General features: G+C 47.2%; 1 protein-coding gene across 2 annotated transcripts in view, besides 3 other annotated features; it reads left to right on the top strand.

The window, feature by feature from the left end:
* Positions 1936–2045: an enhancer, noted in NCBI's record as "active region_23444". NCBI's record gives its function as "activates an Ori minimal core promoter by ATAC-STARR-seq in GM12878 lymphoblastoid cells {active_cell/tissue: GM12878}" and the evidence as "EXISTENCE:reporter gene assay evidence [ECO:0000049][PMID:35858748]".
* Positions 7919–8775: an enhancer, noted in NCBI's record as "H3K27ac hESC enhancer chr5:150537501-150538357 (GRCh37/hg19 assembly coordinates)". NCBI's record gives its function as "activates a minimal SCP1, AML or CMV promoter by ChIP-STARR-seq in naive and primed H9 embryonic stem cells {active_cell/tissue: H9 hESC(naive and primed)}" and the evidence as "EXISTENCE:reporter gene assay evidence [ECO:0000049][PMID:30033119]".
* Positions 8064–8123: a silencer, noted in NCBI's record as "silent region_16520". NCBI's record gives its function as "represses an Ori minimal core promoter by ATAC-STARR-seq in GM12878 lymphoblastoid cells {active_cell/tissue: GM12878}" and the evidence as "EXISTENCE:reporter gene assay evidence [ECO:0000049][PMID:35858748]".
* The window catches only part of ANXA6 (annexin A6), a 57074-nt gene continuing 49666 nt past the window's right edge, over positions 8936–16343 (top strand). For both annotated transcript variants that reach the window (NM_001363114.2, NM_001155.5), the window contains exon 1: positions 8936–9035. The gene's annotated coding sequence lies outside the window, so the exon portion shown is untranslated. The remainder of the gene's footprint in view (positions 9036–16343) is intronic.

Genomic DNA, 16343 nt, shown 5'->3' with positions numbered 1-16343 from the left:
TAGAATTCATTCATTCATTTAATTTTCATTCATCTAATAGTTATTATCTACTTTACCAAGCAATGGGAACGTAAAGAAGACAAGCATTAACCAAAATCATATAAATAAAAATATAATTACCAATTAAGATCTGTATGATCATGGAAAAAAACAGAATTTTAGGACAGACGATGGGAAGGGATGCGTAAAGGAACATCGAGATGCCGAGCGCGGTGGCTCATGCCTGTAATCCTAACACTTTGGGAGGACGAGGCGGGCAGGTAGCTTGAGCTCAGGAGTTCAAGACCAGCCTGGGCAACATGGCAAAACCCCATCTCTACCAATAAATAAAGAAACAAAAATTAAATAAATAAATAAAAAGGACAGTGGAGGGCTGGGCACAGTGACTCACACCTATAATCCCAGCACTTTGTGAGGCAAGCAGATTATTTGAGCCCCTGAGGTCAAGACCATCCTGGGCAACATGGCAAAACCTCATCTCTACAAAAAATACAAAAATTAGTTGGGTGTGGTGGCATATGCCTATAGTCCCAGCTCCTCAGGAGGCTGAGGTAGGAGGATGGTTTGAGCCCAGGAGATGGAGGTTGATCATGCCACTGCTCTCCAGACTGGGCAACAGAATGAGACTCTGTCTCACAAAAAATGAAACAGAATAAAATAAAAATAAAAAACATTGGAGGATGAATTAAAAAGGAATTTTTGAGAAGTGCTGTTTAAGGCGAAATATGCAGTAAGAGCTAGTGAGGCAACCTCTTCCAGGCTTGGAAGAACTTTCATTCCAGGCAGAGGGAATAACTTGTGCAAATGGAAGCTTTCGGTAGAATTCTGAGTGAGTTATAGAATTCTGGAATTCCAGAAAGAGGGTCTCAGAGTCATAGAATCTTGAAACAGACCCTTCAACCGGGAAATGGACTCTTAGATGGTTAGAGACTCAGAATCATCATGTATGAACACAAAAAGAATCTTAAGACATAATTCATTCTCATTCCCCTCTCTGTACATATAGAAACAAACAAAACTCAAGAGCAAGGTAATAGAACCCAGCTAGAACTAGCTCTCACCTCTTATGATGAACAGGCCAGGACTTCATCCATTAAATTAATAGTAGTAGTAATGCTTATATTTATTCTCATTATTATGTGCTAGTTGCTACTAAATGATCTGTTGTCATATCAGTGCATTCCATAACAATCTTGCAAGGTGGATACTTTTATAATACTCATTATTATAACTAAGCTAACAGAAACTCAGACAAAAAAATAAATAAATGGTTCACAGTCACTGAGCTAGAATACGGTGGACCCCAGAAGCCCAGGGACTTTTTCGTTCATTTTCTTTTAAATGTAAAGGCTGTACTGGAAAGCACTGTACTACCCTGCTTTTTCTAATTCAGCTGTTTTCGGGCCTATGCTTCTCACAGGGGCCCCTGCCATCCTACAACTCGGCCTCCCATTGCTGAGACCTCATAGTAGAAAATAATCTGTTTCATGCCAAGTCGTTAGAATCTCCTTATTTTCTCTCGTATAAAAACAAACAATCCTCAACCGTTATAGAGGAATTCCAGACACTGAGAGAGGTCTTAAGGGGACTTTTTGTGGAGGAAGGGGGTGTTCCAGGTAGTCATTTGAACAGTATCCCTTGGGGCCCCTTCCTCTAGTGAGCTTGAAGTAAGACCTGTCTCTGGGAACATACACCCTCTTCTGATGGAAGCCAGGCAGAGCTGGAACTTGCCAGCAGGTGGCAATATTTGACCATTTCCAGCTTCCTCAGAGGGCAACTGGGAGATCTTGAACTTTCTTCTCCTATAATCAGAGAAACTACAGCCCTGACAAGGGACATGAGAAAATCTGGAATCTCAGTCCATTGTTCCAGCCCATATCACAGCATCATGCCGTCTCTTTTACAGACACCTGTAGACAGGCCACTCCACAGAGGAAGGGGCCTGGGAAGTGCCAAAAAGATGATGTCATCTTCACGTGTTTCCAACCCATGTATGCTTCCTTCCAGGGTTTGTTTCCACCTGGAAGCAAGGCTGCGTGACCCCGGCTTGCTTGCAATTCCACAGCTCCTGGATGTGTAGGTTGTTTCCCTTTTGCACTTGAAAAATACAGTGTTGCTGCTGGTGGGGGAAGGTAAACTAGTACAACCACTATGGAAAACAGTATGGAGATTCCTTAAAGAACTAAAAATAGAACTACCACTTGATCCAGCAATCCCACTATGGGTATCTACTTAGAGGAAAACAAGTCATTATATGTAAAAGACACTTGCACACACGTTTCTAGCAGCACAATTCGCAATTGCAAAAATATGGAACCAGTCTAAATGTCCATCGATCAACGAGTAAATAAAGAAAATGTGGGCCAGGAATGGTGGCTCACGCCTGTAATCCCAGCACTTTGGGAGGCCAAGGCAGGCGGATCACCTGAGGTCAGGAGTTCGAGACCAGCCTGGCCAACAGGTGAAACCCTGCCTCTAATTAAAAAATACAAAAATTAGCTGGGAGTGGTGGCAGGTGCCTGTTCCCAGCTACTCAGAGGCTGAGGCAAGAGAATCACTTGAACCCGGGAGGCGGAGGTTGCAGTGAGCCAAGATTGTGCCACCGCACTCCAGCCTGGGCAACACAGCAAGACTCCATCTCAAAGAAAAAAAAAAGAAAATGTGGTATATATACACCGTGGAATACTACTCAGCCATAAAAAGGAATGAAATAATGGCATTCACAACAACCTGCATTGGAGTTGGAGACCATTATTCTAAGTGAAGCAACTCAGGAATGGAAAACCAAATATCATATGTTCTCACTTACAAGTGGGAGCTAAGCTATGAGGACATGAATACATAATAATGATATGTAATGGACTTTGGGGACTCTGGGGTGAGTGGGGAGAGATAAAAGACTACACATTAGGTACAGTGTACACTGCTTGGGTGACAGGTGCACTAAAATCTCAGAAATTACCACTAAAGAACTTATCCATGTAATGAAAAACTACTTATTCCCCAAAAACCATTGAAATAAAAAACAATTTTAAAAATACAGTGTTGGACAGTGAAACCTCGTCTCTACCAAAAAATGAAAAAAATTAGCTGGACGTGGTGGTGCACACCTGTAGTCCCAGCTACTCCGTAGGCTGAAGCATCAGGATAGCTTGAGCCCAGGAGGTTGAGGCCGAAGTGAGCTGAGATTGTGCTACTGCTCCAGCCTGGGGGACAGAATGAGACCCTGTCTCAAAAAAAAAAAAAGAATGAAAAAAAAAAAGTTGGGCATGGTGGCTCACATTATACCAATGCTGGTGTAATCCCAGCATTTTGGGAGGCTGAGGCAGGAGGATGGCTTGAGCATAGGAGACCAGCCTAGGCAAGATGGTGACACGCCATCTCTACAAAAAATACAAAAATTAGCTGGGCAGGTGGCATACACCTGTAGTCTCAGCTACTTGGGAGGCTGAGGTGAGGGGATCACCTGATCCTGGGGAGGTCAAGGCTGCAGTTGAGCCATGATCACACCACTGCAGTCCAGCCTGAGTGACAGAGTGAGACCCTGTCTCCAACAACAACAATAAAACAGTGTTGGGCCTACAGCTTCCTCTGTATTTTAGATTATTTTCTTAGGATTGATTCCTGTAAGTGATGATTAGCTCAAAGAGAATGAGCAGTATATTAGTGTTTACTCCTACTTGCTGCTGTAGCTCAGGAATTAAGGCCCTGGGCTCTGCAGTCAAGGGAATCTGGCTTTCAATCCTGCCTCAGTCACGTGGGCTGAATTTGGGCAAAGATCAAAAATTTCAGTTACTTTTATTGCAAATTAAGAATACAAATAGCCCTGACATTTGTACACTACAGCCCATTCTGTCTCCAAACATTGCTGCAGGAATTCTCCCTTCTCTCTCCTCCATCAATTTTTTTACCTTCTATATGATAACTCCCACCAGCATACAAATATGCTGTTATGTCTTCAATCTTTAAAAAAATCAAACAAAAGCCCTTCTCTTGACACCAATTCCCTTGCCAGACACTGCCTCATTCCCTTGCTGGCCTTCGCAGCAAAACTCCCAGAATAAGTAGTTTAGGCTTTTTATCTTACACCGTTCCCATCAGGCCTTTACCCCCAACATTCTGCAATTCACAGCAAGAGATAAGTTGGCTTTCACATTGCTAAACCCAATGATAGATTTGTAGACCTTGTCCTACTTTACCTAAAAGCAGCATTTGACACACCTGATCACTCCCTTATTTTTCACTTTGCTGCCACATTCTCCTGGGGTAGTTTCCTCCCATCTTACTACAATCTCCTTCCCAGTCACCTTTGCTGAATTCTTTTCTTCTCCCCAACTCTTTTATTTTATTTTTTGAGAGTCTCACTCTGTCTCTCAGGCTGGAGTGCAATGGTGCCATCTCACTGCAATCTCCACCTCCTGGGAGTGATTCTCCTGCCTCAGCCTCCCAAGTAGCTGGGATTACAGCATGCACCACCACGTCCAGCTAACTTTTTGTATTTTTAGTAGAGATGGGGTTTAACTATGTTGGTCAGGCTGGTCTTGAACTCCTGGCCTCAAGTGATCCACCCACCTCAGCCTCCCAAAGTGCTGGAATTACAGGCATGAGCCACCGGGTCCGGCCTCTCCCCAAATGGTAACATAAGAGTGTCTCAGACTCGGTCCTTAGCATCGTGGGTGATCAGCAACTATTTGGGGCTGGCGGTACAGGCAGTAAGAAGAATTTACCAAGGCAGTTGTAGGTAAAGAAAGGCAGATTTATTAGAGAAAGTATGAAAATACATTGCTGCCAGACGTGGTGGCTCATGCCTATAATCCCAGCACTTTGGGAAGCCGAGGTGGATCACGAGGTCAGGAGTTTGAGACCAGCCTGATCAACATGGTGAAAACCCATCTCTACTAAAAATACAAATATTAGCCAGGTGTGGTGGCACGCACCTGTAATCCCAGCTACTCAGGAGCCTAAGGCAGAAGAATCGCTTGAACCCGGGAGGCGGAGGTTGTGGTGAGTCGAGATAGTGCCACTGCACTACAGTCTGGGCGACAGAGTGAGACTTCATCTCAAAAGAAAAACAGAAAAGAAAAGAAAATACGTTGCAAGGGTGCAACGGGCAAGTTAGCAAAACAGAAGCTAACTGCAAGAAAACAAAATCTGGCTAAGGATTTTATAGGATGGTGCTTGTGCTGTGTGCTGAAGAGGGCTTTGTGCAGTACTGATAACATCAAGGGTGCAGGGAGCTTGCGTGCATTTTTCTATCAGGTGAGGGTCTGGCAATAGCTGGGCGCAGATAAGATTGTGAGTTATTCGCACAGGAGGGCTATGCATCCTGGGCCATGAAGAAAGGCAGACTTATAGCTTATCTGCTTTCTCTTTTTGCTTTCCCTTGGTCCTGCCAGCCTGACTCCTTTTGCCGAACTAGGACTCCATATTTAGTTCTCTTCTCCCTTAAGGATCTCATCTCTTGAACTCCAGACTTGACTAGCCAACTGCGTACTTGACATCTCCTGTTGGGTGTCTAATAGAAATGTTCAACAAACTGGTCAAAAACTGAACTCCTGATCTTTTCCCCACTTCTAATTCCCAAAATTGCTTTCCCTGCAGTCTTGCTCATTTCAGTTGATGGTAACTCCATCCTTCCAGTGGCTCAGGCCAGGATCCCTGAAGCCATTCTTGACTCTTTCTCATCTCCCACCTGATCCTTCGGAAATCATGTTCAACCTTCAAATACATCCCATCTCCAACCACTTCCCCCACCTGCATTTATACCAGCCTGTCTCTTGCCTGGATTACTGCAAAATCTCCTAGCAGATCCCCTTCTTCTACTCTTCCCCCAACAGTATTCAGTATTTCCAACACAGGAGACTTCAGTGACCCTTTAAAAAATATGTCTTGGCCAGGTGCGGTGGCTCACACCTGTAATCCCAGCACTTTGGGAGGCCAAGGCAGGTGGATCACCTGAGGTCAGGAGTTCAAGACCAACCTGGCCAACATGATGAATCCCCGTCTCTACTAAAAAAATACAAAAATTAACTGGGCATGGTAGCAGGTGCCTGTAATCCCAGCTATTTGGGAGGCTGAGGCGGAAAGAATTGCTTGAACCCACGAGGTGAAGGTTGCAGTGAGCCGACATGGCACCACTGCACTCCAGCCTGGGCAACAGAACGAGCCTCTGTCTCAAACAAACACAAAAGTCTTATCCAGAATATAAAAAGAACTCATATAACTTAACAACAAAAAAGACAAAAAATCCAATTTAAAAATGAGCAAAAAGCATGATTAGATATTTTTCCAAAGAAGATGTACAAATAGTGGCCAATGAGCACACAAAAAAGATACTCCACATCATTAGTCAGAAGGGAAATGCAAATCAAAAACACAATTATAGATGCCATTTCATAATGACTAGAGCACAAGTTTTTTGTACTTTTGTTTTTTTGAGACAAGTTCTCACTCTGTCGCCCAGGCTGGAGTGCAGTGGTGCAATCACGGCTCACTGCAGCCTCTACCTTCCAGCTTCAAGGGATCATCCCACCTCAGCCTCTCCAGTAGCTGGGATTGCAGGCATGTGCCACTACCCCTGGTTAATTTTTTGTAGAGATGCGGTTTCGTCATGTTGTCCAGGCTGGTCTCAAACTCGTGGGCTCAAGCAATTCACCCACCTCGGCCCTCCCAAAGTACTGGCATTACAGGCATGAGCCACTGTGCCTGGCCGGGTACAAATTTTTAAAAAATAAAATACAAGTGTTGGCAAGGACATGGAGAAATTAAAAGCCTCATACATGACATGGCTGATGGGAATATAAAATGTTGCAGCCACTCTGAAAAAATGTTTGGCAGTTCCTCAAAAACTTAAATGTAGAATTACTATATGACCCAGCAGTTTCATTCCTAGGTAAATACACAACGACAATTGAAAACAGGTACTCAAATAAGTATTTGTATGCAAATGTTCATTAGCAGCACTATTCACAATCAGCAAAAGGGGGAAACAATGCACTATCCATCAACAGATGGATGGATAAACAAATTATAGTGTACTTATACAACGGAAAATTATTCAGCCATTAAAAGGAATGGAGTGCTGGACCGGACACGGTGGCGCATGCCTGTAATCCCAGCACTTTGGGAGGCAAAGGCGGGTGGATCACCTGAGGTCAGGAGTTCGAGACCAGCCTAACTAACATGGTAAAACCCCATCTCTACTAAATACAAAAATAAATTAGCCACACGTGGTGGTGCATGCCTGTAATCCCAGCTGCTCGGAAGGCTGAGGCAGGAGAATTCCTTGAATCTGAGAGGTGGAGGTTGCAGTGAGCCGAGATCACGCCATTGCACTCCAGCCTTGGCAACAAGAGCAAAACTCCAACTGAAACTAAAAAAAAAAAGGAATGGAGTGCTGATACATGCTACAGTGTGGATGAACTTCAAAAACATGCCACATGAGGCCAGGCACGGTGGCTCACGCCTGTAATCCCAGCACTTTGGGAGGCCGAGGCAGGTGGATCACCTGAGGTCGGGAGTTCAAGACCAACCTGACCAACATGGAAAAACCCCGTCTCTACTAAAAATACAGAATTAGCTGGGTGTGGTGGCGCATGCCTGTAATCCCAACTACTCGGGAGGCTGAGGCAGGAGAATTGCTTGAACCCAGGAGGCAGAAGTTGTGGTGAGCAGAGATCACGCCACTGCACTCCAGCCTGGGCGACAAGAGTGAAAAAACAACAACAAAAACAAACAAACAAAATGCCACATGAAAGAAGTCAGACAAGAAGGGTTGCATCTCATGTGATTCCATGTATATGAAATATCCAGAATAGGCACATCCGCAGAAGCAGAAAGCAAATTGGTGGTTGCCAGAGACGAGGGGTAAGGGAAAGTTAGGAGTGACTGCTCAGTGGGTATACTGTTTTATTTTTCCGTGAAGAGAATATTTTGGAACTAGATAGAGGTGGTGGATACACAACATTGTGTCTGTACAAAATGCCACTGAATTGTTGACTTTAAAATGGTTAATTTTATGTTGTGTGGATTTCATCTACCCAAAAATAATACCCTTTCTTTGCTCAATATCCTGCAATGGATCCCCAGTTGACTCAGAGTAAAAGACAGCGTGCCTTCAAGGGCCCCGGAGGTCCCACCTGATTGGGTCCCTCTTATCTCTCCTCTCCCTCCCACTCACTCCATTCCAGCCACACTGGCCCCCCTGCTGATCCTCGGAGGCGCCAGGTGGCCTCCTGCTAGGAGCATTTGCTCCAGCAGTTTCCTCTGCCTGGAACACTTTCCGCAGGTATCTGTCCAATTCTTCTAACTTCCTCATCTTCTCCTTACCAATCCCCTGGGGACAATAATTCTCAGTTTCCTCTGTATTCTCAGTTTATCAATTTTTCCTGTTCTAGCGCTGGATTACAACTGCTGGTCTCCCTGCCTGCCTTCCCTGCTTCCCAGAGCACGAAGAAGCTTGCCTCCGCAACCCACTATTTGTGTGACCTTGGTCCAGGAACTGGACTGGGCTCTCCTCCTGAAAGTGGGTAAATAATGTCACCGACCTAATGAGGCTGTTGAGGCATGGAATCTGATCAGGCAGATAAAGTGCCCCTGGCAAACCTCAATTTTCTGTTTCTCAACAAAGCTTTGGCGACTTATAAGAATTTGCGGGAAAGTGTCCAGAACCCGGAGTCAGGAGCCCTGACTTCTAGCCCTGAAGGGCCGCGTGACCTTGGCCAAAGCCCCTAATCCTTCTCAGTCTCAGATCCGGGGGCTGGAAACTGAGGAGGTTCTCCCGGCAAGCCCCTCGGGCTAGTGACATTCTAAGATTCCAAGAGCTAAGGAGCTAGAGGGGTGGGGTGGAGGAGGGAGGCGGGCGCGCCGGATTGGCCTCTGCGCGCCACGTGTCCGGCTCGGAGCCCACGGCTGTCCTCCCGGTCCGCCCCGCGCTGCGGTTGCTGCTGGGCTAACGGGCTCCGATCCAGCGAGCGCTGCGTCCTCGAGTCCCTGCGCCCGTGCGTCCGTCTGCGACCCGAGGCCTCCGCTGCGCGGTGAGTGGGCTGAGGCTGGAGAGGGGAGTCGCTCTGGGAACCCCTTCCCGGGGGCTGCAGGGACACAAGAAATAAGCGCCCAGTCATCGGCTGATGGGTACCCCCCGCCAGGAGCAGGGACGGGAGGGCGCGGTAACCCGAGAGTGTCGCAGACTGGGTGTGTCTGGGGAGCGCAGCGGAGCAAATCTGGGGTCGGGGCGGAGAGGCGCGGGCGGAGGGCGCCCTGGCTAGGGGGAGGGGAGGGAGTCCCGTTGCTGCAGAGGGTCTGGTTGAGGGTCCTGGGCGCCGGAGCTGAGCCAGGGGCTGGTCCTGCCGGCCTTAATTTGGGGGGGCTCAAGAGACTTTGAAGGTCCGGGGTTGGGGTCAGCTGGACGCCAGTCAAAGGACCCGCAGAGAAGGGTGTGGCTGAGGCCCAAGACTGAGAGCAAGAGCGTTGGACCCTCCAGCTGCTTATAAAATGGCTTGTGTGTGGTGTCGGGGGAGGGCTGCCTGCGTGCAGAGAGCTGAACGTCCGGTCGTACATACCTCAGGGCCTCATTGGACCCCATCCCCTTTGGGCCACTGCTTGTCTATGAATGCAGTCTCCCAACGGGGCTCCGAGGCCTCCTATGGTGAGGCAGGGGCACTACCCTTCTTTCTGCATCCCCTAAGCGGTCTAGGCCTTCCCAAAGTTTGGGGGCTTCAAATAATTCCCCATATACCAGCATGGGAGCAAAATACCCTGAATCGGAATCCCAGCCCCTGTTGCAGTGTGACTTTGGGCGGTGGCTTTCCCTCTCTGAGCCTGGATTTCCTTCTCCAAGTCCATAGTTGAGAAACCCAGTCTCTTTCAAAGGAAACAATGGCTTTGAAAACTGATTTATTTGTCAGCTGTATGGAATGATTGCAGGTTTGGGAGTCTTGATTATAGATTTGGGAAGCCTGGCACAACCCTTGTAGGCCCTACAAGGGGAAAGGGCAGGAGGTCCTTTGGGACAACTAATCTGGCCACGGCTTCCTGCCTCCTCCTTCCTTTCCCTAGATTCTAGTGGGTCTTCTCTGACAATTCCAAATTTGGACATATGGCTCCCGGGTTTGTGAAAGGACTCTGGTTTCCCCCCAAGAGTCCGCCCTTTTCCCTCCATTATTCCTTCCCCCTTGCCCAAAACATGCTTGGGATTGCTTCCACTGACCCAGATGGCATATCCTGACCTGCGTAGCCCTTCATGGTGAAGTGAATGACCGCCCCAGTTTCAGCCCCTGTGGACCCTGACCTCCTAGCAGGCAGGCCCTGAGCCACGCCGAGGGCACTGGCCTGGGGTCAGAGGAAAGCCCGGTTACAGTCCGGATGTGCTGGGACTTCTTGAGCAAGCCCTTTCTCTAAGGCTTTGTGCCCCATCTGGAGCAAAGTCTGCTGAACTGGCTGCCACTGCCAGTGCAGACATTCTAGGATTCAACTGTTCTAAGATTTAGGATTCTGGGAGTTGGATGGGACTGGGGAGGGCAGGAGGCAGAGGCTTTCATCCCCCTCTGCAGCTGTGACAATCACTCATCCATCTTTCTTTGCCTTATCTACCCTTTGTTCCTAAGGCAGCATCTGCTGAGATACAGAAAATACTTGCAGTTTCTGGATAAGGGCCACAGCTGTTGCTGGGGCAAAATGTAGATGTGAGTGTGCAGAGGAGGGGCCAGGGAAGCCCAAGGCCTGGCCTCTTGAGACTGACTCCTGGGATGAAGTGGGGGAGACTGCAGTGCTGGATAGCTGCCAGTGACTGGCACATCCGCACTGCAGCATCCAGAGGGAGCCCTGGGCCACCAGGATCCAGCCTCGGACCCAGCCCCTGCCCTGCCACTAATCAGCTAGGCGCCCTGGGCACACCTACTACCCCTCTGGGGCTTAGCCCCTTCCTCTCTACAGGGATAGGACATATACCCAGGACACCCCACTGGTATTAATAAAATGGGTTGGGTCTGAATGGCTTTTGCTCTACCATTCTAGGATTTTCTGGGGAGGCCCAGTGGAATCACCAGCCTCACCCCACCCAGCCTCTCCGATATACTTCCTGGGTGGCGACAAAGCACAGGATGTGGTCTCTACCGTGATTCCTGAGCATGCATGCACCCCTTCTCCTGCCAATAGAGGGGAGGAAGTCGGAGGGGTGTCTTTATGCCTATAAACTTGCCTTGGAATCCAGCCTCACTCCCTTTCCTCCTGGAGTTGAGAAGCCCCCACAGAGACTGGCTATGGGGGAGTGACTGTCTATAGGTTCCTTGGATGTCCTGCCTATCTGCAAAATGAGAATGAGATCGATACCTTCATGAGGCTGTAAGATGGCAGATATAAAAGTGCTGTGTTATCTCAAAAGGGTGTGGTGCTTGAGAAGGCAGGCGACCTGAGCCTCAAGTTCCTCTTCTGAAAAATCCATGTCCTGGTGGTCCTTAAATAATAGCAATAAAATGGTAACCACTATTACCTCTCGAACCCTTAAATTTGCCAGGCCCCGGCTGAAGCCTTGCTATGTTAGACGCTGTTATTAATGCCTATTTTGCAGACATGGAAACTCCAGCCCTTAACAGTTTAAGGAAGAAATAATAATGACAAATGCTTATAAAATATAGTGCTTCCTGTGTGCCAGGTCCTCTTCTAAGCTCTAGACTTGTCTTAATTTTTTTTATCCTCATCATAACTCCTATGAGGGAGGTGCTATTTTTATCCCTTTTTTTTTTTTTTAATATGAAACAGGCACAGAGAGGCTCAATACTTGCACAACACCACACAGCTACTAAATATCACCCTCAGGCTTCAATCTCAGGCAGTCTGGCTCCAGCATCTATACTGTGAGACACTACTTTGCTGCCTCTCACAAAAGTGACCCAAGCTGGGGTTCAAACCTAGGCTAGACTAGTTCCAATCCTGAGGCAGAGAGATGATCTCCTGAGGCCTTGTCCAGTCCTAGGATCAATGGTTCTGGGTCAGGAGAGGAAAAGACACTGCTCCCTAAGAAACCCCAGTCGTCAAGCTGGGGGGTGTGCCCACGCACAGAGCCAGGGAAGGCATTTACCCCAGCTTCATCAGAATCAAGGCTCCTGGAGGGTTATGGAGCGGGTCCTGGGTGTCTTCCTGCAGACCGGGGGAGAAGCCAGCAAGAAAGGGCAAAGAGGGAAGGATCTAGATTTTATAGGCCAGGGGCCTTCTAAGTGGGATGGATATACCCCAGGACGCACTGAAGATGATCTTTTGGGGGTACAGGAAGAAACTATTGGACTCCTTATTAAATGTACTTTTAATGTCATATTTTAAAGGTATATTTCTGTTTATCATGGTAAATACTCAATTTTTCTTTGGTTATGGGTTGTGTATGGGATCAATATATATATATATATATATATATATATATATATATACTGCAAACTGCCATATGACATCACCTTATCACCAGCTTTGTGGGGCCAGGAGCCTTGTCTGTCTCATTTTCTGTTCAACCCCCAACTTCTACCAGTGGGCCTGGTTTGTAGGAGGTGCTCAAATAAATGTTTATGGAAAAACACGCCCCTGCTTGATGACTGATTTTCTTCTGATGTTGGGTAAGTGACTTAACCTCTCTAGTTTATCTCCTGGCTATAGAAAGAGGAGTAAAGCACAGTTTGAAAACCAATAGTAGATGGTTCCATTTGCTGAGGTCACTAAAGAAAGCATGAAAGCCACTTAGTGCATTTTACCCCCAACCATCCATAGGAGCCACGCCCTATGGGAGGGGGTGCAGGAAAGAGGCATATGCAGTAATTTTCTAAAAAGTGTAAAATTATGACTCATGCAGATACAAAAATGATCATGTGCTGTTCTACTTATTAATCAATGACCACACCAGGCCGATGTTATAACCAGCTCAAAAGACACATTTGTATTGAAAGAAATGTGCAATTAGAGACAAAACTCTTTTTTTACCTGAGGGGGTGGGAAATCAATTGGACCTTTACAAAATAGGGCAAGGAGTATGTATTAGAATTACTTTGTGTTACCATCAATTATTTGCAACTTACTGACCTGTAAAATCACTCAAAGACAATGAAAGTCTCGAGTCAGACAACCTGGAGGGTTTTCCTTTGAAGTACAGATTCTTTCCCATAATACCTTGGAGGCTGGCAGCCCTTATCTAATGGAGAAATGATAAATCCACAGTGGTTGACCAAAGCCAGTCAAATCAAGGTGGTTTCAGAGCACCCTAGCGGGGGAATACCTTCTGGCTTGTTAGAAAAGGCGGCATTTGAATCCAGCAGATAACAGTGGTTCTCAGCCTCCTTGGCTGCCATTAAAATCACCTAGGAAAGTTTTTAGAAATTACCAAAGGCCAGGCCTCACCCCAGCAGTTGAGTCAGAATCTCTAAGGGCTGACCTTAAATCTTTGGTAGTTTTGAAAAATTCCCCAGGTTCTGTTAGTGAAGCTAGAATTGAAAAGCACTGGTATAGATTCTGGAAAGCTGGATTAAAAATGTTGGTGGAAGGCGTTCCTGGTTTAGCAGGGAAGACAGGGCAAAGAGGAAAGTGGTGATGGCAAAGAAGTCAGTAAGGAGAACCAATGGCCTCGACTGCTGAGCTTAGAGGCCCAGTATTAAGGGGCACCATTGGAGACTTGTGAGCAGAGGAGTGCTGTGGCTCAGGCTGTAGCCCCTCAGGCACTCCCCTGAGGCAGAGGTCTGGGTGGGTTTTTTTGCATGATTTTCCATATTATTTCTTTTTTCTCAAATCACCCTCCCACCACACCTGGTTTCACCCCCTTACGCTCAACATCTCCTTTCCCTCAAAAGTGTACTCTGTTCCTCCACAGCCCAAGCTACCTTTCGATGACAGAAATGCTTTTTCTTACCCTGGTGTTACTATTCTTCCTGGCATGCCCCTGCCTCCATTCCATTGAATCCAGATTTTGACTGTGCACCTCTATCAGCCTGCACCCCTAATATTTTCTTTAACTTTATACATGTATAACAAATAAAAATGGGACATAAAAGGGCAAGATTAAAACATTTGGAAAGTGGTGATACTCTTGTCCTGCACCCCAGTGGATTGTCATACCCATTACCCCTTTTTGGAGACTACTGCTGTAATAATGATGATTGTGGCAACAGAAGTCACCGTTTGTTAAACATTTAATCTGTACCTGGCCATGCTAAGTGTTTTACCTGCCTTATTTCATTGAATCTTCACAAAAACCTTACAAGAGGGTCATTTCAGGATGAAGAAACTGAGGCAGAGAAATTCCATAACTTGCCCAAGTTACTGAGCTCGGAATTTGCATGGTCAGGATTTGAACTTGGGCATCGACCACAAATCCTGCATTGATTCTAATGCCACATTGCCTCCATTGTAAATGTTTGGGCTTATTATAATAAAAGCCACCATTTATTGAGCCTTTACTGTGTGCCACGCACTGTGCTAAGTGTTTTCCCCCCGTTACTTCATTTATTTCTCAGTACCTATAGGTATTTCTATCTGCATTTTGCGGATGTGGAAATTGAGATTCAGTTTAAGTAACTTACTTACATCACAAACTGCTGGGCAACATCTGTGCCTGAAGGCCCATGCCTTCACATGACTTGGATAAAACCCTTCCCCTATCCACATCTCTGTGGTTGGGCAGTGGTGAGCCGTTCCTTCTAGAGTCAGCCTGGAACTCTCGAAGGGGAAGGAGGAAAACGTGATTGATTGCAGGCAAAAGGATGAGGCAAGGGGTGGCCACAGCAGCACAAAGCCACCCAGGCCATTCATTCTGCTCCTGTGTGGGTTTCACGAATGATCAGTCATGATAAGTCGTCACAGTATATCTCATCTAGATCTGAGAGAATCAGGGTTCCTGGGAGGAAAGAGGCACAGGTCTGGAATGACCCTGTTTACTAGTCTTGAACAGCTCTTTCAACCAAGGTGATGAATGTTGCATATTGGCGGGTGGAGATGGGGAGGAATCCTGTGGCCTGGGAGATGACCCTCCTAGGACTGATATTCTGCTGTGAAAATCCTGAGTTGAAGTCTCTAAAAGCCTCTAACTATAGATCCTACCAAAGAGGGAGTGATGTATTGTCCCACTTTAGAGATGAAGAAACTAAGGCTGAGAGAGGGATCTGGCTTGCCTGAGGTTACATGGGGGCAGACTGGGAACCAGAACCAGGGTCTTATTCTTTGGACTCTTCCTGGTGTCCCATTGCAGCCAAGACCCACAGTTGTGTGGGGACTTGTTATGATCGAGGGCTGCTAGGCAGAGATGTTGGCTGCTTCCTGGGCCCTGGCAAGTCACTTTCTCTTTCTGAGATGCCTTTACCCCGTCTAGAAAATGAGGGACTTGGAGTCATGGATTATTAAGGGCCCTTGTGGGATTCAGAAACACTAGATGTAAAATATTCAGCCAATTTGAGCAGTATGGTCTAGGTTGCTCTGGGAGGGATCAGAAGCCATCTTAAAGCCAGGGTAAATGGTGTGTTTATGATTAGCTCAGGAGCTTCCCAGAACCCTCAGAGGCGGGGCTGTGGAATCAGCAGGGGGACTGGCCCTCAGAACTGCAGTCTGAACATCTAGTTCTGGAAGGAGCTTGCTTTTTACATATGAACTGTGCACTCACACAAGGCACACAGAAACTGCTCTCAGAGCTGAGAATATTTTCCCAAACAGTAAGAGGCCCCTCCTTGAAGCCATCTCTCCTTGGAAAGGGGAGCTCCTCCAGATGGGCCTGGGCTGCAGCCAGCAGCTGAAATTGCCAGCAACAAGCCCAGAGGAAAGTGCTTCAAGGCTGGAGATGCAGGTGACAGGCCTCAGCCCTCCCTCTGTCTGTGTCAACTAACTTCCTGGGTCTCATTCAGTCCCTGGTTCTCTGCTAGCCTTGGGCTTCCTTCACTGTCTCCCCCTACTATCCCCCAGGTCAGAGGAAACCGAGAGCTGGCCTCCAGCCTCATCCCGGGGTAGATGTGGGCCCCCTCCTCCCCCCACCACACACTGGAAAGGGGGTACAGTTTCCATTTCCTGGTGAGAGCTGCACAGTTGTACCAAGGGGCCCCTGGTTGCCAGGGAAACAGCAAGGTTTCCTGAAGCTGAGCTGAGCTGAGCTGCATTTGCAGGCAGATCCGTCCTCTGCCTTCCACTCCCAACCCCATATGATGACTGTCCTCAGCTGACTGCAGCTTGGGGAACTCATAATCAGCCAGTGAAGACACAGAGGCAAACACGACAGAGGCCCTGTCCTCAACTTCCCACCAGCACAGTAAATATCACCATTTACTAAGAACAGGTCTTGTGCCTGGCCTCTTATGTGCTGCCTTTGACATAACTTAGGTCTTATCCTCCAA

Source organism: Homo sapiens, chromosome 5 (genome assembly GCF_000001405.40).
Source record: "Homo sapiens chromosome 5, GRCh38.p14 Primary Assembly".
In the NCBI taxonomy this organism is placed as follows: Eukaryota; Metazoa; Chordata; class Mammalia; order Primates; family Hominidae; genus Homo; species Homo sapiens.
The sequence above is the reverse complement of the archived record's forward strand: the minus strand, read 5'-3'. Positions and strand labels throughout refer to the sequence as shown.